Genomic DNA, 26,275 nt, shown 5'->3' with positions numbered 1-26,275 from the left:
GTTTTTCTCATGATTAAACTGGGATTATAAATTTTGCAGAGGAAGATAAGGTAAAGTGCCATTCTCATCACCTCATAGCAAGGGTGCATGCTATCAGAATGACTTATCACTGTTAATGTTAACATTGGCTATATTGTTGCGGAAATGTTTGGTGTATTTCTCCGTTGTGAAGTTACTTTTCCTCCCATTTTTATACGTTACTTTTTGGAAGGAAGTCACTGTGTGCAGTTCACACTTAAAAAGTGAGGAGTTATGTGCCACCTCCTTGAACATAAATTATTTGGAATTTAGATGTGCTTACTGCTACTTGGGTGACGTGGCATCTAGACCCCCTCAGTTCACAGAGCAAGGACACATATATGTGTATATGAATTCATACATATACATATTTAGAAGCATCTCAATATCTAGAGGATAGAAAAGGCACGAAATGAATTTTCCCCTAGATTATCCAGAAAGAAGACAGTTCTGCTGACTCCTTCATTTTTGTCCATAAGTCATTTCAAACTTCTGATCTACAGAATTGTAAAATAATAAATTTGTGTTGAGTTATGCCACTAAGTTTGTGATAATTGATCACAACAGCAATAGGAAATGAATACAGATAAAGACAAATGAGACTGAACATGTTTTTGTACACTTATTCATCACTGTTACACCTTCCTTGGTGAGAGGTCTGCATCTTTGGGACATTATTAAATTGGGTTGCTTGGTTTCTTGTTGCTGAGTTTTAAGAGTTATTTGTATTTGTTTTAATACAAAACCTTTATGAACTATTTATTTTTAAATAGTTTCTTATGGTCTGTAACATCTATTTATTCTCTTAATATTGTCTTTTGGAGAGTAATTTTAATAAAGTCTAACTTATCAATTTATCTTTCATGAATTATGTTTTTGACCTTGTATCTAAAACTCATAAACAAATTCAAAATCATGTAGATTTTACCCTATGTTTTCTTCTAGAAAGTTTAGAGTTTAGTATTTTACATTTAGGTCTGCGACTCATATTGAGTTAACTTCTGTGAAAGGTTTGTGTCTAGGTTCATCTTTTTGCATATTGATGGACTCCCTCCCTGACCAAACTTTAGTCAGGCTCCTCTGATCTTCTCAACTAGTCCTCGAACATCCTCAGATCATGGTTTTTAATACTATTCTCCAGTAAGGACAGTTTTATTTCTTTCCAATTTGCATGGTTTTTATTTCATTTCCTGTTAATATTGCATGAACTAGGACTTCCAGTATGATTTTGAATAGGAGTGGTTCCTTGTTGCTGATCCCAGGGGTAAAGTGTCCAGTTCCTCACCACTAAGTATGTTGTTAATTGTGTGATTTTTTTTGCAAATTTTTTAGATCAATTGAGCAAGGTTCCCTCTGTTTTTAGTTTGCTGGCATTTTTTTTTTTTTGGTCATGAATTGGTATTAGGTTTTGTCAACTGCATTTTATGCATCAATTGATATGAGCATATGATTTTTCTTTTTTAGCTAGTTGATATGTAAGTTACATTGATTTTTGAATATTGAACCAACCTTGCATACTTAGAATAAATTCCACTTGGTCATGGTGTATAATTCTTTTTATATGCTATTGGATTTAATTTGTAGTATCTTGTGGGAAATATTTACATCTTTGTTCATAAGATATATTGGTCTATAGCTTTTCTTTATTGTAATGTCTTCATCTGGATTTGCTATTGGAGTAATGCTGATCTGATAGAATGAATTGTAAGTTAGGATGCTCTAACTTACAGAGTTACTTACTCAGACCAGAATTACTTTCTCTAATGAGTTGTAAGTTAGGATACTCTAGCAGTCTCTCTCTAATGTTTGGAGGAGATTGTGGAGAAATGGCATTTCTTCTTTTTTAAATGTTTGGTAGAATTCAACAAGAACATTGTGTTGTAAATGGGAGATTAAGTTACTCTTATAGGGTCTTTAAGAATCATTCCAACATGGTCATGAATATTACACTCAGATGTATATGAAAGTGAAATATTTATTATACTCATAGGTCTTAGAGACCAGAGTACTCCTAGGTTTTAGAGACCAGAGTCATGGCATACCATACAGGGAGCCATATGAGAGGAGCTCCCAAAGTGGACTTAACCAGCAGGTAGGGAGAAATGGGGGTAGAGTGGGGTGGGAGGGAGAATGAATGAAGATCAACCTGTGGGTAAGTGTCCTTACTTACAGGGGGATTTCACAAGCAAAGGACATGAGGGAATTTTATTGGTGTGTTGAATGTCATTAGGTCATAGTCAGAGGTGGGCAGGAAGTTTTAACCTGTGGTAGTGACCAACTTTGTGGCACTGATATACCTAGTCACCTGAGTGGAATGTTTATAGCCTGTTTGTGGGGATGTTGAGGCTTTAGAAAAGTGTGAAGTTTGAAAGATTTATGGTGCAGAGACCATCTAGACTTGGTGCTTTTTTGGGGGAATATTAGTAATTATTGATATAATTTTTTCATATATATAGGCTGTATTATCCATTTCTCCTTGTGTGAGTTTTTGGTACTTTGTATCTTTCAATGAATTGGTCCATTTCCTCTAAATTAGTGAATTTATGGGCATAGGCTTGTTCACAGTATTTGTCTCTTATGCTTGTAATGTCCATGAGATCTGTAGTGATGAAACCTCTTTTAATTCTAATATTGATAATTTGTGTCTTCTGTCTTTTTGACTTGGTTAGCCCAGCTAATTTCTATTTTGACAGTTGTTAAATTAAAAATTCAATTTTCTTAATAGTTATATGGCTATTTCAGCTATATGTTTCCCTTTGTATAAATTGTGGTAGGCTTAATTTTTTAAGGAATTGTTTCCTTGCCTCTGAGTTGTCAAATTTACATTTGTGGAGCTGTTTGCAGTATTTGCTTATTATTATTATCATCATTATTATTTATGTCTTCAGGGTCTGAGTGAATATTCTCCTGTTTTATTCCTGATATCAGTAATATGTGTCATCTAATTTTTTCTTTGTTAGTCTTGTTAGAGTTCATCACTTTTCTTGAATATTTCAAAGAATCTGCTTCTGTTTTTGTTGTTTTATCTAGTTTTCCTGTTTTCAATTTCATTAATTTCTTCTCTAATTTTTATTGTTTACTTTCTTCTGCTTGTTTGGTTTTTTTATTTTTTCTTTAGTTGCCTATAATAGAATCTAGGTTATTGATTTTATATCTTTCCCTTTTTAGTGTATAGATTTAGTGTTGTAAATTTCTCACTAAACACTGCTTTACTGTACACACAAATTTCTGATAAGTTGTATTTTCATTTTTCATTTAATTTAAAATATTTAAAGGTTAGAATAGACACTCTTCAAAACATTAAAATTGCAATGCAGAAACAAACATTTTGTATAGAGATACTTTTGGATTTCTGTGAGTACCCAAGGGTTTACAGTCTCCATTTTGGGCTGTCCTAGAGTAACCAGTAATGATACTTTCTCATGCTACCTACTACAATCTGTTTTGCTGACAAGTTGAAAGTTGGACAAATATGTTCAGAAGGACATACCACTGTGATTTCAGTAAGACCAGAGAATTTAAACTGTGTTCCAATGCTTAATGGCAGAAAAATTTCTCCTTCTAAAGGAAACCTTTGGTTAAAATGGTCAAAGAGGTGAAATTAACCACTTTGTGCCAAACAGCTTCAAAAGGAAATACACTCCATGAGAAATCATGATAGAATCAGATTTGCTAAGTCCCCTAATCATCCGAGAAGTTTTACTTATTCATCTTTTGTACTTCCTCCATGCCCTAGTAAGAATTTATAAACTACGCATTGCATCACAAAAGGACATATATTTATCTAGCACTTAACATATACCTAATCCTGTGCAAGATAAATACCATGTATTTATCTAGCACTTACCATATACCTAATCCTAATGCGTCTGAGAGACGCATACATGAAATAACGACACCTTCGTTAGAAACTACAGTCTTGTTGGGTGAACAAGACTATCACCAACAAAATAACTAGTGAGCAATATAAGTCAATATGTAATTAAGCCCTGAGTAGGTAAGTGATGACTGTAAATACCATCAAAATTTCATGTGAAACTGTTCACAATGTCTCTTTTACTTAAGGGGAGTTTAGAAATAGAGTCTGTTTAATAGACTAGTCAAGAGCATCTCATTAGTTGCTTTTATTGGAAGGGACAGAAAACGAGTGGAAACTAAAATACCCATGTAATTAATAAACACAGAAATAGCTCAGGTCACTGACCCTGCAAATTATTTTTAATGCAAAGACATATCAATTCCTTTGATTTTGTCTCCTTGGATGAGGCCTGGAATGTGATCTCCACTGGAGTGGAAAATAATAATTTTTGACTGAATTCCAGAAAGGAATGCCTCCCTGCCTTGTTCTGTGCCTGTGCCTGTGTGTGTTTGTGTGTGTGTGTGTGCAAGCGCGACACACCTGCATGCACAAGGGGGCAGTAAGATCCATTGCTTCATGTTCAAATCAAATGCTTGACTACCTATTGCATTAAAATGGAGAAGGGTATCTTTCACCAAACACCACTCAATTCTGTTTCTTCACATCACAAGCCTAATGAGCTAACACCTGGTGTTTCCCTGAGGCAGGAAGAAGGCTGAGGAAGATGGGTGAAACTCAGAATGGGTACCCTTTGTTAAAACCCATAATGGCACTGATTGAATATCTGGGGCAAGCATGTAATGACCTGCATGGTAACTCCTGCAGATGGTTTTCCACTCGGGGACACTATTGCAACCGTCCCTTATTATGTCTCTTACGTTTTTCAAACTGAAGTCGTTTATATACCACTTTTATGACATTTGCCACATCTATGTACCACTCATATAATTACTTAATGTATCCTTTTATTTATGTCATAAAACATTGAATACATTTATTAGTAGTAGTAGCAGTAGTGAGGGGCATTTTATGTTACTTCTACAGATGTAAAAACCTATATTGTATGGCCTTCATAGAAGAAACTCATTTTAAAAGGTTTTTCCCCCGAATTTTTGAGTAAAAATAACCAAAGTATTCAAAAACACCCAGAATCAGCTTATGTTCCATTAAAAACACACATGACACACTTTGGGAACTATGGACATACAGGTAAGGTCTTCATTGTCAAAGTACACAAAGCCTTCATGATCTGGCCCCGGTTTCTCTTCAGCTTCATCTCTTTCTGAGCCATGTTTTACACCCCATTGTTTAGCTTGCTTGCATAATAATAATAATTCATATTTCCCTCAAATCCACTCTATTTTAGACACCTAGTTCACAGCAATTCCTAGGTGACAGAAAACATTTCACTCCTTGGTTTACCTAAAAATAATCTGCATCTCTTTTAGACATTAGCTGGAGCATCATCTTTTCCCTGAAGCTTTTACTGACACCCTAAAGTAAAATTCTTTTTTGTGTGTGTACCCTATAACATTTAAATAAGCTTCTTTGTTTTGAGGTCTCTTTTCATCTACTAGATTACAAATGCTTTCTGATATCTTGAATAAACCAAAGTAGAATGGTTGGTTGACTCCATGGAGTAATCTCTTTGGTAGCTCCACAATTAGTGTTTCTGCAAACTTGCTCAGCCTGAAATTCTGCAAAAGCAGATACAGTTCTTTGCTTTAAGAAACTGTGTTTGCTCTTAAAGTTCAATTGCACCTGAGATTGAAATTAGTCAAGTATGCTAAGGTGTTTGCAGATCCGTGCAAAGGTTTTTTGCAACCTTTCCTGAAAGTAAGTTTTGAGAGACGAAGATTGAGAAAGACGTGGAAATGTGAGCGCTGAGGGGAGGATAGCATGAAAGAGACATAACAAATTGTAGAAAAAGATTGTCCATTCTGAGAGTTGCTGTGTAGGCCACTATACTGATGGTTTCAACCAGAGTACACTACAGCAATACAGAGAAGCCTAGGTCCTGGGTAAATTGTTATTCTCTCTGTATGAGAGAAAAGATTTATTTTCTCATCCAACTCTAGGATTATGGCTGAGATCCCTATAACAAAAGACAGAATAGCAAGAGGAAAGCATATAAATATATTTAACATAAGTTTTATGTGACATAGGAGGCTTCATAAGAAAATGAAGTCCAGAAGAAACGAGGAAGTTGTGTTTTTTTATACTAAATTTGCTGAAGAAGTGGATGGTTGTGGAGAAGTGTGATTGGAAATAAGGAGTATTATCTAATGGTAATAAACTGGGGAGAACTTAGCAAGGCTTGTTTGTTTAAATTCTTATCTGTGCCCTGTGTCTTCTGAGATAAAGGTAGAGGGAGTGCACTCTCAAATGAGAATCTTATGACCTGCTTCAGTGGAAAGTCAGAAAATTCTACTATGGCCTGCTTCAGGGGAAAAGGGTAGAAGAAGATCGCAGAGACCTTCCTGCTTCTGCTGTTTTCTCAAATCCAAGGAGCCACATTTTGAGGTAGTGTGTGTTGATAGTTCACATCACCTCCACGCCCACCTTGGGCTTAATCCCAGCTCTAGAGTACAAATGGCTGTGGGGATGGAGAAAATTCCATGAAAAAAACACACTGGGCTAGTAGGAAATGAACAATAGCGTAAGAAGTGAGACATATCCTAAGAAAACTCAGTTCTTGATCTTTTGATAAATAGAAGAAACAGTATTCTCTGAAATTGACCTAATAGGCAAAGATGCGATGCCATAGGATGTCAAAGATGGTGATTGTTTTTAGACATGCACAGTCACAAGCTCCTATGTAGGAGGAAGAGAATAGAAAAAAAGGAAAATATATTATATTGGAAAAATCTAAAACTAATTTTACAGTGCCATAGCTGAAGATTGCTACAGATCCATGGAATTGAAATAATATTACAGCAAATAGCCTGTGCACTCTTCAGCATGATTTTCTCAGATCTCTGGCAGAAGGAAGTAATTCTGGTACTCAGTTGAGAGTTGGAAGGTGGAATGCTTCCAATTTAAAACAAACTCTCAGATCTGTTTGCCACATGTTTTTTTAATAGTCATTTAATTTTGGTGAAACAGCTTTGTGGAACTATGGAGGTGTCTCCTTTCTGTCTCTTAGCTTGCCTCTTTGAGACCATTAATTTTCGCAGATAAAATAAGATCCTGGTATGTCATAGAACATATTTAAAACATCTGAATTGTTTTTACAATGAAAAGAAATAAAGCCAAACTTCCTGAGGCAAAACTTCTCCCCTAATTTAAGGTGATTGCGACTCTTTTATTTCTTTAGATAAATTTATTCTCTTTATATAAAACATAAGGCATTGCTTCCTTCTGTAGTCTTAAGAAGGTGGTGAGATACCTGATAGACATATGAGAAAGGATTTTCTTTTAATTTGAAGACTATGTAAGCCTGTGACAGTTATTCCCAGTTGTTATAGAGATTATATTTCTCTTCAATTTCAAGAATTCTGAACAAAGTGATAAGAATTGTAGAATTTATAACTTTCTGTGGACATATCTATTTCAGTGATCTGAAACTAGAAATGCACTACATTTTAGAAACAAGTATCTAAATTAGTGAAAAGTCCATCACTGCAGGGGAGCTGGCTGTCATAATTATATCTTATTTGGGTCTTTCACTTGGGGGATCCTATTCGTTATCTTTGGAATGTCACATAAATGATTCTCTGAGGATACTAGCTAATAAAAATACCACCTAGCTGTGTTCTGTTATTTCTGCCCCTTCCTTCCCTACCAATTCAGGTGTCTAGTTACAAACAGCAACTAAATTCAAGTGTGTTTCTTCCCTTTCAGCAGCTTGTACATCTAATTTTACCTGTTGGCAATCTCAACCTAAACAATGGAAAGATAACATATTTTTAAGAACAACTGTATTATTTTTTATATTGTAGACTGAATACACCAAGTTCCATTTCTACTACTGTAGTTTATACCATGATGTTTAACATGGAAATCATGAAGTTATTCAGAAAATTTGATGCCTGCCTCAACTATAAGTTTCAGATAAGCATATTTTGAAAACATTCAGGCATTATCTTAGACCTATACTTTGCTTGGACAATATTTTACAGTATTCAACTTCTTTTTATTGACAAATCCCTTGTAATTTATTATTATTACACAGCAAGAGCCCACATACTGCTATAAAACACAGTAAGTAGCGCTTATTTAAAAATAATTTATGTTATGAAAATTGTATCTTTAAATTCCATCCTTTCAAGATATGTGAACTCTGAACTCCTATGTTTCTGAAGAGCTCAATACTGTGACAGATTGTGTGTGTGTGTGTGTGTGTGTGTGTGTGTGTGTGTGTGTGTGTGTGTGTGCGCGCGCATTTGCTGTGGGGAGACAATGGACAGTTTGGAATGAATTCTCATGCACACATGGCCTGATGGAAGCATTAAATTCCTAGACATCCCAAAGTACCTTCCTTCTTTGTGTTCAGACTCTGCAAGATTTCCATATTTTTTTCAGAAGAGAAATGATTTTTTTTCAATTTCCAAAATCCTGGTGGTACTTTAGCATGTGAACCAGGAGAATGACATAAAGGCAGCAGCCCTTCATCATGTCTTGTGCTTTATTGTGTGCTATGTGGCATGAATATAATCTTTTTTTTTGTACTAAATTATAAGCATGTTTCCTATATAGGGAAATATGCAGGCAAGAAGACATTTGAAATAGCTGAAGTAAAGAAATACAGGCTGGGCTCAGTGGCTCATTCCTGTAATCCCAGCACTTTGGGAGACTGAGGCGGGTGGATCACCTGAGGTTGGGAGTTCGAGACCAGCCTTAGCAACATGGAGAAATCCCATCTCTACTAAAAATACAAAATTAGCCGGGTGTAGTGGAACATGCCTATAATCCCAGCTACTCAGGAGGCTGAGGCAGGAGAATCACTTGAACTCAGGAGGTGAAGGTTGCAGTGAGCCGAGATCGCACCATTCACCATTGCACTCTAGCCTGAGGCAGGAGAATCACTTGAACTCAGGAAGTGAAGGTTGCAGTGAGCCGAGATCGCACCATTCACCACTGCACTCTAGCCTGGGCAACAAGAGCGAAACTCCATCTCAAAAAAAAGATAAAAAAAAAAAAGAAAAAAATATAAACGTGACACAATGAATCTAGCATAGATGTGGAGCTGTGGCACACAGGAGGAGCCTCAAGATGTGCAAGGAGTCCCCAGGAGCCACACAGCAAGGTGAAAAGCTTCCAGGAGGTTTTCATTTCAGCAGCACTGCCAGAAAACATCTACCATCCCAGGCTTTTTTTGTGAAATTATAACTTCAAATTCCAAGCACCTGGGAAATTCCCAGGGGTTGAGCTGGAACAGCTGTGGCCCAGAACTCCTCTTGCAGTTCTCCAGGAAGAATACTCTGTCCTGAGAATCTGAACTCTGGAATAATCCAGCTCTTCACCATCCCCACATCTGTCCCCACATAGTCAAGCATGACAGCAAAATAAAATCCACAAAAAGGGGACATGGATGCCACTTTGAATCTGTGGTCACTCATCCTTAAGGGGCTTTTAACACTGCATAGAAATTCTAATGAGATTTTTTGTTAGCTTGCTTCCCCACTCCCTGAAATGGCAATTTAAAATATTTTCTACTCAATTCACATCTGCAATTTTCTCTCTTCTCATTCTCAGCAGATGTCCTACCTCAAAGAAAATTAAAAGAGAAACCATGAAAACAAACCAACTTAACTTCCTGACATCATAGCTACAAATCTATTTGCTTGCTGCTTCCCTTGTCTTCTTCTCTGCTGGTACAAAGTGATGGGTGTCCTTTTTCCCAAGTTACTTCTTGTCTGGATATACTCACCAGTCTCCAGGAAGCAAAGCTGGGGCCCTGCCCCACTGTGGTCTCTTCCCTGGATTACAGAAGAGGCCCTGTCAATGGCACCTTGGCTCTTGGCCCACCTTCTGTCTTGGCCCTCTGCTACACTTTCCAACTTACAAGCAGAGTGCACGTGTCAAGCCTAAATGGGGTTATATAATTGCCCTCTGCTAAACCTTCTGGTATGGGCTGAATTGTGCATCCCTGAAAAATTTATATATTGAATCCGTAGCCCCCAGTACCTTAGAATATGACTATGTTTAGAGATAGGCTCTTTAAAGAGCTAACTTAGTTAAAATAAGGTCACTGGGATGGGTGGCTCCTAATCCAATATTACTAGTATCCTTATAAGAAGAGATTATGACACAGCTGCATACAGAAGGAAGACCATGTGAAGACACAGGGAAAAAGACAGCCATCTACAGGCCGAGGAGAGAGCCCTCAGAAGAAACCAACCTTGCTGGCATCGCAATCTTGGGCTTCTAACTTCCAGAATTGTGATAAAATAAATTCCAGAATTGTGAGAAAACATTCTTGCTGACATCATGATCTTGGGCTTCTAAATTCCAGAATTGTGAGAAAATGAATTGGTTCAGCCACTCAGTCTGTGGTACTTCGTCAAGGCAGCCCTAGCAAAACTCTTCCACCTTCTAATGACTTTTAGTCATCTCTGGAATAAAACCCACAGGCTCTAAGAAGTTTCTAAGGCCTAGGATGATCTGACTGACTCTTGCCTCTGGTGCCTCAGCCTTAGACACTTCCTGCCTCTCTCTACTCCAGCCACACTAGCCTCGGTGCAGTTCCACATACATCATCCTCCTTCGTCTGGAGCCTCTGGATGTCCTGTTTCTTTGGCTTGGAATCCTCCTACCTGCTCATGCTACTTACTCACCTCGTCAGTAGCACCACCCTTCAAGTCTCAGCTTAAACATCGCTCCTTAGAGAAGCCATCCTTGTTCCCTTAGACTAGGGAACAAGGGAATCTGTGGTAATTCTGTGGTAATCTTCCACAGAATTTTGTACTGGTAATTTACAGCCCTTATGATCCTCCAGTCACTTGGTCAACATATCTCTTCTATGCAAGATTGTATCCTCCAGGTCTCAGGAACCATTTCTGCTGTATCTGTGGTATATTTGGTGTGGTATATATGTATTTGAATGAAGCCTCAGAATGAACAGGCTAACAGTTGCCAGGATCATGACCATTCTGGCAGGAAAATGGACAGAACTGCTTTGGACACGGTAGTAGTAAGATTTCCCCTGATTATCAAAATCCAATTAGGTAGATTTTGTAGCTGAAGTAATGAAGTGATTACCTCTAGAATAATTTGTTAGTAATTCAATTCAGTTTATGAGGCAAAGGTTATATTTTTATTTTTTCAGTCAACTTTAGCAAATGTTCAGAATTTTTGGACCAGATGTATAGTAGGTCTAATTCATTTTGGGATACATATGAAACAATTATATGAAGGATTGATTTTATATTATCACCTGGAATTTCTGACCTTTACAGAAACTGCCAAAGTGTGTTGGAGTTTGAGCCCCATCACAAGACATTTAGCAATGCATATGTTGTTGTGACTGGAAATTGGGTTTGCTGTTGCCCTTCATCTCTGCTTCATAACAGTGGGTGGAAGCCCTTTAAAAGAAGCATTCTGAATTTTAAAGCTCTTTTCTTGTGCTGTCCGATAGGAGATGCCAATATTATGAGGCACTAGCATGCAAGTGTGGAGGGTCCACTTTTTGTAGGGTAGCCCATGGCTGCTAGGAGAGGTATTTTGTAGCATGTGTGGACTTGGTTTTTGTGGCGTGAAGAGAATGGGTATAACACTGATAACTTGCCAAGAGAAGCCTATTTTATGGTGCTTTTGTGATAAGTACAATGGTGCCATCTATTTGTGACTGATATTTTTTAATGGAGTTGACTGTTCCTGAGTGGTCCGAGGACAAAAAGAATAATGTAGCTGGGCATCATTTGCACATTTATTTACATGTCAGGGCTTTTGTTCAAATTGTGACTGAAGTCTATTTGTAGAGTCAGGCATAACAAAGTAAACCTCATTGAGATTCACTTCAGGACATATCCAAACAAACAACATCTTCATTCTGAGCCCATCCAAATGTCTGTAATTTGGTAAATTACTCATTCTATTTGAATGCATTAGTCATCATTTATGAATGCCAGTGAAATTGAATGGACTTCCCTCAAAGCTCTATAGAACTTTTCCATCGTGCTGCAAATGCCTGTTTTTAATTTTTTTCAAGACATATTTTTTGTTACATTTTAAATTTCTGGCTCATATGCCAAATAAGCATCCAAAAAAATAAAGAATCATGTCGAAATAGCTAAATGGGTCTTTGTAAAATGACTTTTTTTCTTTAGATTTAAGTAGATTAAGGTCACATCACAGTATGTGAAAATGCATAAACCTTTGTAATCTTCAGGTTTAATCTTTACTATGAAGTACTTTGGGAATGTTAGTAATCTTCAACATAAACAGCTGTCAGAGGGAATCAAATAGGAAGTGTTTTAAGGAAGACAATGCCTCAAGTGCTAACCCCCTTGAAATTTTTTTTTTTTTTTTTGGAGTGATGAAAGCTTTTTCTTGAGTATATTGGTTAATAGCCAAGAAAGATGGGGAACCTTGAACAGAAAGACCATACAGAAATTTTCTGATGCTTTGACATTTTACGTTTTCTTTAAAATCAAATGGCTCTAGTAACACAGCAAAAAGGGGAATATGACATTTTGACATTCATCAGGTATCTGTGGTACTTTTAAGTTATATCGATTAAACTTTCCTATCCCAACAATTTTTTTATCTGCTTATGGAAGCTATCAGTCTTTATAATGTATTGCAAATGCGTGATGAAGACTGAAGATAAAGAAAAGCTGACCCTTGAACTTCTGAGTGTATTTATGTAATTTCCTAAATTTTGAGTAATCTTGGCAAAAGAGATGTCCTGAGTTCTTTTTTACATTTATTTAAGGCAATGGTATCTATAAACTATTATTGCTCAAATGTCTAGGATTCTTTTAAATGTAAAAAGGAGTGGTTCTTCTTAGGAAAGGATGATTTTAACTATCTTTGAAAATTTCATAAATCAAGAGCAGATTTGTAAAATAAAGTGTTAACAAGTGGTTACAGGTTTAGTTTTCCAAAGATAAACTTTTGTCCTTCTTATTTTGTGTCCCAGAACCTTCCCTATTCTCTCCATTGTCAATGCTGGTTTTTCTAAGAGGAAAAAGCTGACTATTCGTTTAGAATCTCTGTGCAAGATTTCTTGTTAGATTGATCCATTATATTTCAGCTGTGTACATGCTGCCCACCTTCTCCATGCATTCCTTGTATTTTAAATCCTACAGGGCTTTCTTTCAATACAGGAGATATGTCTCCCTTTTAGTTATTTAGACTTGAGGATGATTTGATTCATGAGGATGTATATACTTTGTGTTTTTAAGTGTGTGTGTGCAGCAAATATTTATCAGTGTGCCGTATTTCATCTTGAAATTGAAAGACTAGATCATTCTTGGAAGGGATATTAAGCTTCCTTATGCAAGCATTTTTGCACGCTAATGCTTCAAGGCCCAGAAAGAAAAGGGAATGAATAAAGTGGTTGTGGGCAAGTGGCTAGAGAGCACTTGCCTTGGCTTAGGGCACCAGTATCTATTCAGCTGCAGTCAACTGCAGCCACGCAAGAACAGTCCCAGTGTTGTTCAACTATCCAGGTTTACAAGAGTAGTCAGAAACTTGGATTTTCATTTGAAATTTCAAAATATTTAAATGCTAGTAATTAATTTTAATTAAACACTGTGTGAGCTAAACAAAATAAGTTTATGGGTGCTCAGTGTGCCAGTTCTGTAAAACAGAAGTTATAGCTAAAAAAGAAAATGCCATACCATAGTTTACTTACCAACTTTACTTAATAGCTATGTAAAATGTTTAGAAAAGAAACATAAATGTAATATGCATACTTAGATAACATGTTTGTTAGAAATATCTTGGGTAAGGGAAGAAATTTTCTTTCCATCTACCCATGCCATTGATGAGTCTCTGGTTCAGAAAACTGATTCCATTCAATACCACCTACTTCCCCATCCCAGCTCCCATTAATACAAGTATAGGGACTTAACATTTCCTCAATGCCCACCTCCTTGCTTGCTGTTCAGGGAAATACACATTTTGGTTTATGGATGTCCTGGGGTGCTGTAAGAGTCAAGGAAGTTATTGAAGGACATTTTTAGATAATAGACAGCATCAATCATGCTGGGCACATACTGAGGAAAGTGATGACAAAGAAGGGACCTATCTGCCCAACAAGAGCAGGACCTTGGAAAGAATGGTTCTCTGTCTCTTTGGCCTTAATGTACAAGGAAAAAATGAGAGCTGGAAAGTTTACACATGGCCCTCAGATTTTAGGCAGTGCCAGAGCATCAATGAGCATGAGGCTGAGTGATCTTCACCGGGAGCAGTCTATTGCTGCAGACTCAGCTCCCATAATGAAAGGTTGAGAGTAAGACCCTTTGCAGAAATATTCCTCATATCTATGTTATCTCCCTTCAGACGTCTTCACACCACTTCTCAACATCTCTGCTCTCACTATATTCCTTTCTGGTGGAAAGAGCCTTCATTCTCTCACTTTGGATGTTCCTTCTCTGAATTTGTCCCTGCCCTAAGTCATCCTCTCCATGTTCCTAAGTCCAAAGGATTTTGGAAATCATCTACATAAGAGTCCCCTCTTCTCAAATTTACACTCTGTCACATTCATCTCTGAGGCAACAAACACATTGAATGAGCTTGAATGGAGAAGAGAAAAAAAATCTAAACATCAAAATAAAAAAGTTGTTAACATCTCAAAAACTGTTATCCTACTGCACAAAGATGTTTAATGCAATTTTAATTTTTATTTGTATTAATTTACAAATTTGGAATCACAGTCTTTTTTGGCCTACAAACAAAATCAGACATTCAAAATCAAAACTGCACACTCAATATAAAATTTCTACTTGAGTGGATACATTTTTCCATACTTCTTCCTTTTAGCCCCTTTAGAAGGAATGTGAAGGTAGCAGCCAGTCTTTGGTTGTGTGCCATTGCTTATGCACCTAAGGATAAATACACCTGAGAATACATGGGATGCAGATTATTTTCTAACTTTAAGCATCATCTACTATTAAGAGTATCATAAAGTATCAAGGGCTCTTCAGCCAATGATTAATAAAGTCAGCGTGATTTGAATACTGTACCAGGACTGACCGTCATACATAAAAGACGCTACATTTTTTTTTCCATAAGAGGACACATTTAGACCAATTACTTGTCTGGCAAATGACTAGAAATATATCTCCTTAAATGACAAAGAATATAGAGAAATGTGGGTCTATTTACCTCTACTGTTTGTAAATTCTTGTCAGTGTAAAAAAAAAAAAACAGAAAAGAAATTCAATAAAATTCTCACCTCAGTCACCGTATCATCAAAGTCATTGCAAACATTTTTTCGCCTGCCAGAAAAATCCTCTCAGGTGTTGTTGCCTGAAGTACAAAGAGCTTTAAAAAATGAATAAAGGAGACTTAAAGAAAGTGTCTGCTGATGCCTTCAGGAACATTTTGGCAGGACTACGGGGAAACAAAGAACTTTGTTTTCAATGCTCATATCTTTGGTTATTCTTACCTCTTTTAGACCCCTTGTTAATATCTGAAACCATCATGATCCCTTTACCTTCCATATTTCTCATCTTAAAATATCACTTGCTTCAAATGACATTATTTGTATATTTCACAGATACCAAGAATTTTCACATGCTATGTTGCATGGCATTATCATAATTACCTACTCATTTACTCAAATTAGTGAGCATCTGTTTACTATGGCAGATATTATATGCTAGGTTTTTTGATATAAGAGAGCTGACAGTAGAGGTAGGGGAACAGAATGTGCAAATATGGTTATGATATGTTGTCATATGTACTGAAATAGATGTAAGTAGGTTGCTTTGACAGATCATAAGAAGGGATTATATACAGCTCCCAAAAAGAGATGATCTTTATACTCAGCCTTCAAGAGTAGATGGAGGCTATAGGTAAAAACTGGATATAAAATTCAGAAGAGGAGGTCCCTAGAAACCAAGAGGCAAAATAATTTCAGGTAGGAGAGAAGGAGTGTAATCGCTGGTGTCAAATTTAGTGCAGGGATTGAAAAACAGAAGAATTAAAAAGAATGATTGAGATTTAGCATCCTGGTTGATATTGGTGACCTTGTGGCAGTTCTTTCAATATGTAGTAGGGTTAGTAGACAGACTTTAGGATTTTGAGAATTAATTGGATTGTAAGGGGCCCAATGGCTTAATCTGGTTATGCAGGTGGTTTCTTGTGTGAGAACCCTCAGCCAAATAGGTGAATGTGAGCTAAACACAGCTACTTGCTCCATTCAGTGAGTCATGCCCTGGCACAGAGTCACATCCAGAGAAATGGGCAATTTTTCTTAGGTTTTACAAAGCTGTTGATGAGTTAACAGAAACCTGATGGCAGGTACTGTTTTCCATAATATGAACTGTGAAGAGAAGGAGGGTAATATCAGAGAGGTATAAGGTTTAATTTTTAAAAGGTCAGCTAAACTTGAATATATTTAAAGGCTACAGGCTAAGACATAGTATATGGAGAGTTTAAAGAGACAAGTGAAAATAAAATAATCAACAGAGAGCCATGAGGACACAGAGGAGAATGGGATCTTGAAAGTTACAAAAATTAGACAGTAGAAATTTCTCTTTTACTGACTTGGAGAGGAGAAGATAAGCATGGGAAAAGATGCAAATAAGCTTATGGGTGAAGGGAGATAAAAATGAACTAAAAATAGGCAGAAATAAAACAAGAAAAGGATGTACAAATGGCCAACAAACATATGAAAAAATGCCCAACATCACCAATCATCAGGGAAATGCAAATTAAAATTACAAGATACCACCTTACCCCAGTCAGGATAATGGACATTATTAAAAAGTCAAAAAATGATAGGCAGCATGGATGTGGTGAAAAGGGAATGCTTGTACACTATTTATGGGAATGTAAATTGGTACAACATCTATGACAAACAATAAGGAAATTTCTCAAAGAACTAAAAGTAAATCCACCATTCGATCCAGCAATCTCACCACTGGGTATCTACCCAAAGGAAAAGCAGTCAATATATCAAAAAGGCACCTGCACTTGTATATTTATTGCAGCACAATTCAGAATTGCAAAGGTATGGAACCAACCTAAATGCCTGTTGATCGATGCGTGGATAAGGGAAATGTAGTGTACACACACATACACATGCATACACACACCATGGAATACCACTCAGCCATAAAAAAATAATGAAGTAATGTCTTTTGCAACAACTTGGATGGAGCTGGAGGCCATTATCCTAAGTGAAGTAACTCAGGAAGAGAAAACTAAATACCTCATGTTCTAACTTACAAGTGGGAGCTAAGCTATGGATATACAAAGGCCTACAGAATAGTATAATGGACATTGGAGACTCAGAAGAGGAAAGAATGAGAAAGTGATGAGGGATGAGAAATTACCCCTTGGGTACAAAGTACACTATTTGGGTGACAGATACACTAAAAGTCCAAATTTTATCCCTGCACAATTCATCCATGTAACCAAAAACCACTTGTACCCCTAAAGCTATTGAAATTGAATAAATAAATAAATAAAACAAATGGTAGCAAAAATAAATTAATTATAAGTACTAAAAAGATAAATTTGCTAATTAAAAACAGTAGATAGGCTACTCCAAATTGGATACAAAGTGAGATAAGAAAGGTAAATCCAGCAGTTTGTCCAGAAGGCAGTAAAACAGAGACACGAAGAGACAAAGTTTTAAAAAAGAGAAGAGAGGCTGGGCGCGGTGGCTCACGCCTGTAATCCCAGCACTTTGGGAGGCTGAGGAGGGAGGATCACAAGGACAGGAGATCGAGACCATCCTGGCTAACACGGTGAAACTCCGTCTCTACTAAAAATACAAAAAATTAGCCGGGCGTGGTGGCACGTTCCTGTAGTCCCAGCTACTCGGGAGGCTGAGGCAGGAGAATTTCTTGAACCCAGGAGGCAGAGGTTACAGTAAGCCGAGATCGCGCCACTGCACTCCAGCCTGGGCAACAGAGTGAGACTCCATGTTAAACAAAAACAAAAAACAAACAAACAAACAGAAAGAAAAAATGTAAGAAAAGAGAAACTACAATACACATACGGTAGAGTGATGAACAGGTCCACAGCTGTCTAAAAGAAATTCCAGAAGATAATAAAGGAAGTGGCTTATAAACAACAACAACATGTAAAGAAAACAGGAAAGTTTTCTAGAATTGAAGGAAGATATTCAAATGAAAAGGTTCACACCAGCTGTCAAGTGGTTTGAATAAAAAATAGTGATTTGATAGATCAAGAATAAAAAGGAAATGTTCAAAGGTACAAGAGAGGAGACAGAGTTTGCCTATGGTGGCAGGTTGTATTATTTACTTACAAATCTTCTTGCTTACCATTGCCAGGGTGAGTGGTATATACTTCCCTGGATCCTTGATTTGGGGGTTGGCTGTGTGATTAGTTTTGGTCAAGGGCAAAATGACAATGTGCGAGCTCCAAATCTGAAACCCTTTTGAGTTTGCACTCTTTCATGAAGAGTATGTCCCAGCTAGGCTGATTCCTTCAACATAGTTCCCAAGATAAAGACATGAAGAACATACCTGAACCCAGCAGAAAGCTTAGAACCCAGTTAGGCCCAAATAAGCCTGTCCAAGGTCAGCTGTACTGCAGTCCATTTATAGAGCTGTGAATATGAAATAAGCAATTGCTGTTCTAAGTCACGGAGATTTGGGGTTGTTTGTTATGTAACATTACTGGAACAGAAACCAGGTAAATTTACAAAGAAACTATAATTAAATGAACAATTGATTTCTCATCAGGATTGACATACTAAGTTGAAGAAATAATATCTAACATAAATGACTGAAGCAGGTTGGGTGGGGATTAAAAAGGCAGTGTAGGAGCTATGGCAAATTGGAGGGCTCACCTAAACATGTTATTTGAGCTTGTGAAGACATACACTCAGTTTTGTCAGACTGGCTATTTTCTTAAAGGGAGAATTTGAAAACCTGTATTTCTATGCATAGCCTGCTAATTTTAAAAAGTTGATGACATACCTGATTTTTGTCTCCTAACTTTTTGTGAGCCAACCTCACATGTTCATAGCCTGCTTGTGTTTTGAGGGCCAGATATAGTGTGGGCGACTAGTTTTTCAACACCATCTTGAAAGCCTGCAGGATGGTTGGGGAGAAAGTAGATTTGCCCATCCTCTCTGACCTCACATTGTTCAGATGACCAGAGCCTCCTTCTATGGCCAGAGCTCAGTTTCTGACTGGGGGCCAGGATGCTGCTGTTGGTTCAGCATTTGTGCTTTGCCTGCTCACCACCTTGCCCTAAACCATTTGGTTATCTTGTGTGCCCCCATCCCTTTTCTTCACATTTAGCCATTTCTACTCAAATGTGTGTGTCAGCTTTTAAATATAAACTTAAAGATGATCACAAAGATCTATAGAGTCTTTTCTTCTGCCTTGATTTTTTTTAAAGGCTGATGGGAGTGAGGTTGTTCTCCTTTGGAGTATGTGTGGTTCATCACTGATACATCAGAATTACTTTATTAGCTTAAAGGTAAAAAACTAATGTCCTTCAAGCTTCTTCCTGCAAATAAGGATGATCTTTTCAATAGAATACATAGTCCAAATATTCTTTGCAAATTGTCCTTCAACGGGAAAATCTGGTATTATTCATTCAACAAAACACATGAAACCAATATTCTTTTTGGTATTCAGTGATTATTGTGTTGAATGTTGTATAATGTAGTTTTAGTTGAGATTTTGATAAATTATTATTCCTTTTGTTTTTGTTCTTCCTAGTAAGTTTGCAACATTAATACATGAGGCTTGTCTCCATATTTAGGGCTGTGCCGTTAACACAATACCAAGATCACAATCAGAAACAACTTACATGTATTCTTTACTAACACAGAGGCTCATCAGAACAGCTTCCGTAGGTTGCCAAGAAATGTCAGCCTATTATACAATAGAAAGTCAATTTACTTTTAAGGCAATCCCTTATTGAAAGCTTTCTTAATCAGATTATGTGTATATTCAGAAAGCAAAGAGAAAAACAAAGGCGGTGACCTTAATAGATCTAGCTTTACAATTTTTTGTTGTTGATATATTAAGATAATGTCAGCCAAAGTGATATTGAAAGACCTCAGTTATCTAGTTTGTTTTATCTTTTTTTTTTTTGACATTTTACTTTGTGCATCATGACATGCCTAGTATCAGGAAATGGAATGGAAAGTACGGTTCTTATTCTAGGTATATGGTGGGAAACCTAGGGGATTCTTACAGTCGGTACATGAGCATCTTTTTTTTTTTTTTACAATAAAAAGGAAAGACTGTTAGAAAATTAGTTTTACCCTTTCTAAACACTGTCCTTTTTGAAAGTTTGAATATATCCACAGTCTGTTGAAACCTTGAAACTAAAAATTTAGACTCTTATCATCATCTTAAGTTCTTCATGCTACTCTTAACCTCCCAAAAAGCAGTCTCTAAGTCACATACTTGATGTCTTCGGCATTTTCTCTCTCAGCCATGGAGAGCTATGAAAGGAAGAATCGCTGCTTTTCTCAAGCAAATCGGTTTCTTGATGTCTTTTGATTCTCACTCCTTGCCTGCTCCTGGTGTTTTGACCCCTTTTTTTATAGAACAGAGTGCTCTAGAATAATGGATGGTCTTGGAAGGTGGATAAATAGGGACAGGGACAGTTAAATTGGGAGCCTTTCTGACAACCTTGATGGGTTTTTTCCCCCCAAGTTTCCTTCTCCACTGAAATGCCACACCAATGCTAGTTGGATTCATGAGGTGGCCAGACCAATGTGTTGTTTTTCTTTATTATTATTTCTTAAAGCTTCCCTTGAGAGAATAAATGGTAATGGAGAGAACTACTTAACAAGGTCCTGGTTTCTCTTGCAACACAGTAGCTAAACTTGCCTGCTTTTATGTGCATTTTTGTAGGGATCAACTTGGTAGACAGTATGAGCAGAGAAACGACACCTTGATCTTGGTTTGCAAGCCCTTCTCCCATCAGTCCTAGATTAGGCCCTGTTCAGCCATGCAGGGGTGTTGGTTTATGCGTGCTGCAGCAGTGGGCATAATGAATGTAATTTACTCAGTGGACAAAGGTGTGTACCAAGTGAATTTAAATAATTGGTGTGGATTGGCCAGTAGCTAAGAAGTGGGCTTTCAAAGAGTATTGAAGACTGAAAGGTTTTTGTTTTTGTTTTTTTTAAAGAAAAAAAAACCATTGATTGTAGAAAATGAAAAGCTAGGGTTTGCCCTCTTCATGTCTACTCTCCTTCCAAATAGTTATATCCAAAACTGTTTCTCCCTCTCCCCTACCTTATCCCCCCTATTAAAATAGAAACAGGGATTGATTAACGTCCCGCTCCTGAATACATGTAAAACTTGTACAAAAATATCTTCTATGAAAATGATTTGTAATCTGTAGACTTATTACCTGGGAGATGTCTTGATGTAAAATCCCATCCTTTGGGTTGTGGGATTTCTGTTTTCTCCAAATAAATCTGATCTTTTAAGTTCATAAAAAAAAAAGAAAAGAAAATTATGATTATCTGGCCACAACTTCTTTCAGGTTTAACATTGCCTACATTGTAAAGCCTGCCATTACTCTATCTGCAGAATAAGACCTGTATGAACCATGAACATTAATAGGTAGAAATTAACTTGAGCAAGTGTGTTTTCTATTTTATTTAGCATTCACAACCAAAACAGGGCTTTTTGATGACTACAATCAACTGCCTTCATGCTTGAGTCTAAGCTTCCTAAATCAGAAAGCGCCAGAAATTACACTTTGAACCTCCAAATAGTGTGAGTTGAACAGAAGTGTATTTTTGGATACCAAATGTGCTCTCATATCCTTCCAACTCTGAAAAATCAAACAAGCAGGAATTTCATTATCTGGGTGTCCAGTCTTTATCCCTCACAACTGACCCTGTCTTCCTGTGACCCTCTTCCACAGCACCAGACAGAGCCATAACTGTTTCCCAGTGTTCTTTTCCATTGCACCACCACCCCCTCTATCTCCTCCTCGCCCTCTCCCCTCCCAACACAGAAATGCTTCAACAGAAGGCAGAGAAAACTCAAAGAATCCCCCTTTACTAACTAGAACTAAGATGAATTGTGTCAGAGTTCAGAGCCCTGTTGTTGCTTTGGCATGAAATCATGGCCCTTGGTTTCTGCCAAGGCGGGTGTCAGCTGGTGAATTATAACACTGGCAGACAGGACTGAGATAAGCAAAAAATACAATGACAGCTGCTACACAGAACTATTCTTTCTGGCCTAGTGAATACAAAAATACATTGTGTAAATAAAGACAGACAGCTTCATTATGCAATTGTCTGCTACTCTGTCACTGCTAAAGAACAAGTATTGATTTTGGAAAATATATCCAGACTCTTCAAGCTAATATGCTCTTGCTCTTGCAATGTATGGGGCATTAAGGAAAGAAATAATCTAATCTAACTTCCTCACATTAGAGCTGAACCAACATGTAAATTTAGTATAACATCTCCCTACATTAGACATTTGAAATTTAGCTTTTTGAAAAACAACCATTTCACATGCAAGTCCTCAGTTCTATTATTTTAATGTAAAACTCTAGAGCTTGGACTGCATTTTCGTGAGTTATAATGTAAGTGGGTGTATTAATCTGTTCAGGCTGCCATAATAAAATACCATAGACAGGGTGACTTAAAGAGCAGAAATCTATTTTCTCACAGTTCTTTTGGCTGGAAGCTGCAGGTAAAGGTCTGGCAGGGTCAGTTCCTGTTAAGGGCTCTCTTCCTGGCATGTAGACGGCTGCCTTCTTGCTGTGTGCTCAGATGGCAGAGACAGCAAGAGTGAGCACTCTGGAATCTCTTCTTATGAAGACATTAGTACTATTGGATCAATACCCTACCCTTGTGACCTCGTTTAACCTTAAACATCCTTAAAGGCCCCATCTAAAAATGCAGCTACACTGAGGGCAGGGAGGAGTTGGAATTTCCATATGTGAATTTTGGGTGACACACAACATTCAGCCTATAACAGTGACTTGGGCAAACTTGATTTTTATTATAAATAAATTACTTGATGAACTTATTTACCTTCTGATTGGTGATTTCTAATACACTAAATGGTGTTTTCAGTAATATATCATTTAGTGACTATTTTTTTCTCATTTAGCAACCAACATGAGGAATTGAGCAGGAGAAGCAAGAAGTGTTTACAGTGAAACAGTCTTCAAAGCGAGGTACCTGAACACTTGTAGGTCCCTGAGAGCTATTCTGCAAGGTCAATTCTGTTTTTAGAATAACACTAGAGTTGTTATTTGCCTTTTTGACTATGCTGACATTTGCACTGATGGTACAAAAAAAAATAGTGATAAAATTGTTGGCACCTCAACATGAATTGAGGCAGTGACACCAAATTACACTAGTAGTCATTGTATTACTTACTGTCATGTATTTGCAGTTTATATAAATATATAGATATATGCATATAGACACACATATCTACACACATACATATACACACATACATATACATGTCTGTGTGTATGCCAATTTCATCGAAAATTACTCTTGATGAAAAAGTAAAATGTATTACTTTTGCTAGATTTTTACTGTTGATCACCCATCTCTTTAATATTGTGTGTCCTAAAATGAGAAATATGCATAAAACACTTGCTGCATACTGAAGTAGGATGGTCAATGGTAATCTGGAGGAAAAGAATTTGTGTGATTGTTTGAGTTGCAAGCTTAACTGACCACTTTTTTTGTTGGAAAACTATTTTTACTTTAAAGAACAACTAACAGACAAATTATAGTGTTCATACTTATTTGGCAGACATTTTCTTGAAAGTGAATAAAGTGAGCATGCCACTTCAAGAAAAACAACTGACAAAATTTTTTCCAATGATAAAATTTCAGCTTTCAAGTGAAAACTTGAATTTTGGAAAACTTGTATCTATCATTGTAGCTTGAAGATACATAAAAGACTTCAGTGATCTTAATAGATGTGAATTTTAAAATCTTATATAATGTAATGTATCCACATTTAGAAGTGGCATAACAGTTTATTTGTCTATTCTTACATTGCTATAAAGAAATACCTGAGGCTGGGTAATTTATAAAGGAATGAAGTTTAATTGGTTCACAGTTCTGTGGCTGTACAAGAAGCATGGCATGGGCATCTGCTCAGCTTTTGGTGAGGCCTCAGGAAGCTTACAATCATGGCAGAAGGCAAAGGAAGAGCAGGTGGTCACATGATAACAGCAGGAGCAAGAGAGAGAAAGGGGAGGTCCCAAGTTCTTTCAAACAATCAGATCTCACCCGAACTAACTGAGGGAGAACTCACTCACCATCAAGGGTGTGGCACTAAGTGATTCATGGGGGAACTTCCCCCATGATCCAATATCTCCCACCAGGCCCCACCTACATTTCAAGATGAGATTTGGAAGGAGGAATATCCGAACTGTATCACTCAGTGAAACAATATTTTCCACGTAAACAATAGTTGATGGTACAAAATCATTCATGAGTAAAGGAGTCCTTCAATGTGCAATATAGACCAATAGATTTGAAACCAACGCGGTACAAAAAAATGCACTGATACAGTTATTTACCTTCCATTGGAGCTAACTACCCTTGGTTGAGCTTTTGTAGATATCAAATATTAATATCTACAGTTACCCGAAAAGGCTATTGAATTTCTTCTCTCCTATCCATCTACATGTTTATGTGAGGCTGGATTTTCTTTATATACTTTACCCTAAATAATGTATTTCAACAGATTTAGGAGAAGCTGATCTGAGAATCCAGCTGTCTTCTGTTAAGCCAGACATTAAAGTTGGCAAATATGTAAACCAATGTCACTCTTTCCAGTAATTAGTTTTTCAGACAAATGTAATTGTAAAAAAAAAGTATCTGTTAGCATGTGTTTATTATTTTAAATGAATTAATAAATAATATCATTTAAAATTTTTGTTTTATAATAAACCTTGAGAGAGATAGCCCACATAAACACAAGTTGTTTTGGATCCTCAATAGTTTTTAACAGTGTAAAGGATAGGAGAACCACCGCTATAGAGGGAAGATGAGAGCATTTGGCAACTGGAAACCTTTGGCTTTTTAATGTAACTTTTGCTAGTTATCCTGTGATTTGGGGCAAGTGACATAACTCTGAGTCATAGTTATACCACTTATAAGATAGAGATAGTAAAGTCTACTGCACATGGTTTTTGTAAAGATTTATTTAATGAGACCATGCATATGAAAGCCCTTTATAAACTGTAAAGTGCTGCATGATGTCACACTTGAAGATGCTACACCATCTTCAAGGCTTACTTCAGACCCTCATAAAGCAATTCCAGCCACTCCCTTCTGCTCCCAAATTTGGAAATGATTTTCTGTTTTCTGACTCTGCATACTAATTTTGCGTGTTTACATGTGTTTCTACTGGTACACTTGCCTTTATACTTATTTAAGCTCAGGCCACTCCTCTTGGACCATAAGCTTCCTCAGCAAAGGGATTTTGTATGCACCTTTGTATTCTTTGCAGACAGTATTACTCGTAGGAGGTATTTAATATGTTTGCATTGAATAGAATATAACTAATGAATATCCCCAAATCTTTTTTATTTATTTAATTAATTAATTTATTTTCGAGACAGAGTCTTGCTCTGTCATCCAGGCTGGAGTGCAGTGGCATGATCTCGGCTCACTGCAACCTCTGCCTCCCGTTCAAGCAATTCTCCTGCCTCAGCCTCCCGAGTAGCTGGGAATACAGGCACACACTGCCACGCCTGGCTAAGTTTTTGTATTTTAGTAGAGAAGGAGTTTCACCGTGTTGGCCAGACTAGTCTCGAACTCCTGATCTCAGGCAATCTGCCTTCCTCGGCCTCCCAAAGTGCTGGGATTACAAGCATGAGCTACCATCCCCAGCCCCCAGATCTTTTTTATGTGGTGAGATTACTTTTTTAAATATGGGACAAGGTGGCATATGAGGCTCAAATTCTTTAGAAGGCAAAAACCAATTCTTTTAACATGTATTATAGGGGGAACGTCAAAAGATAACCATACATCTGTGATGTTCCTGTTGCAATAGGTCATTATTGCCCTTTTCTCTTATCTCCCTCATAACTCCCTGTCACTGGTGATACAAATGTCGTGCAGAGCTTTGTTCCAAACCTGTGTTTCCATGGGCAATGCCATGAGTTGATTCAATATATTTAATTAAAAAATTATTTAAACTGTTTGCAGTCCATTTAAGAAGGCTTATTTTGCTTTTGCTTTCTGTTTTTCACTTTTCAGGAATTTGCTCCTGTCTGCAGAAATTATGAAATTATTTTTTGAGAGGGATCCCTTACCTTTAACTTGTG

At 37.1% G+C, this 26,275-nt stretch overlaps 2 long non-coding RNA genes across 6 annotated transcripts in view; one reads left to right on the top strand and one right to left on the bottom strand.

Moving 5' to 3' along the window:
• The window catches only part of LOC105377953 (uncharacterized), a 29,486-nt gene that overhangs the window by 2,771 nt on the left and 440 nt on the right, over nucleotides 1-26,275 (bottom strand). Inside the window, exons 1-6 of one of the 5 annotated variants that reach the window (XR_942890.2) lie at nucleotides 22,633-22,729; nucleotides 21,353-21,424; nucleotides 19,793-19,857; nucleotides 18,493-18,575; nucleotides 15,225-15,313; nucleotides 14,693-14,887 (exon numbers count right to left, since the gene is read on the bottom strand). This is a non-coding gene — a long non-coding RNA (uncharacterized LOC105377953). Of the gene's footprint in view, nucleotides 1-14,692; nucleotides 14,888-15,224; nucleotides 15,314-18,492; nucleotides 18,576-19,792; nucleotides 19,858-21,352; nucleotides 21,425-22,632; nucleotides 22,730-26,275 lie in introns of those variants that run through there. The other 4 variants (XR_001744311.1, XR_942891.2, XR_001744310.1 and 1 more) reach the window with 4 other exon arrangements.
• On the top strand, nucleotides 1-26,275 carry LOC105377955 (uncharacterized). The gene is made up of 4 exons (XR_942893.3): nucleotides 1-50; nucleotides 21,610-21,723; nucleotides 23,080-23,146; nucleotides 26,208-26,275. It is a non-coding gene; the product is annotated as an uncharacterized LOC105377955 (long non-coding RNA).

The sequence above is a fragment of the Homo sapiens genome, chromosome 6, assembly GCF_000001405.40.
Source record: "Homo sapiens chromosome 6, GRCh38.p14 Primary Assembly".
Lineage (NCBI taxonomy): Eukaryota > Metazoa > Chordata > Mammalia > Primates > Hominidae > Homo > Homo sapiens.
Note: the sequence above shows the minus strand (reverse complement) of the source record. Positions and strands in the feature narration are given on the sequence as shown.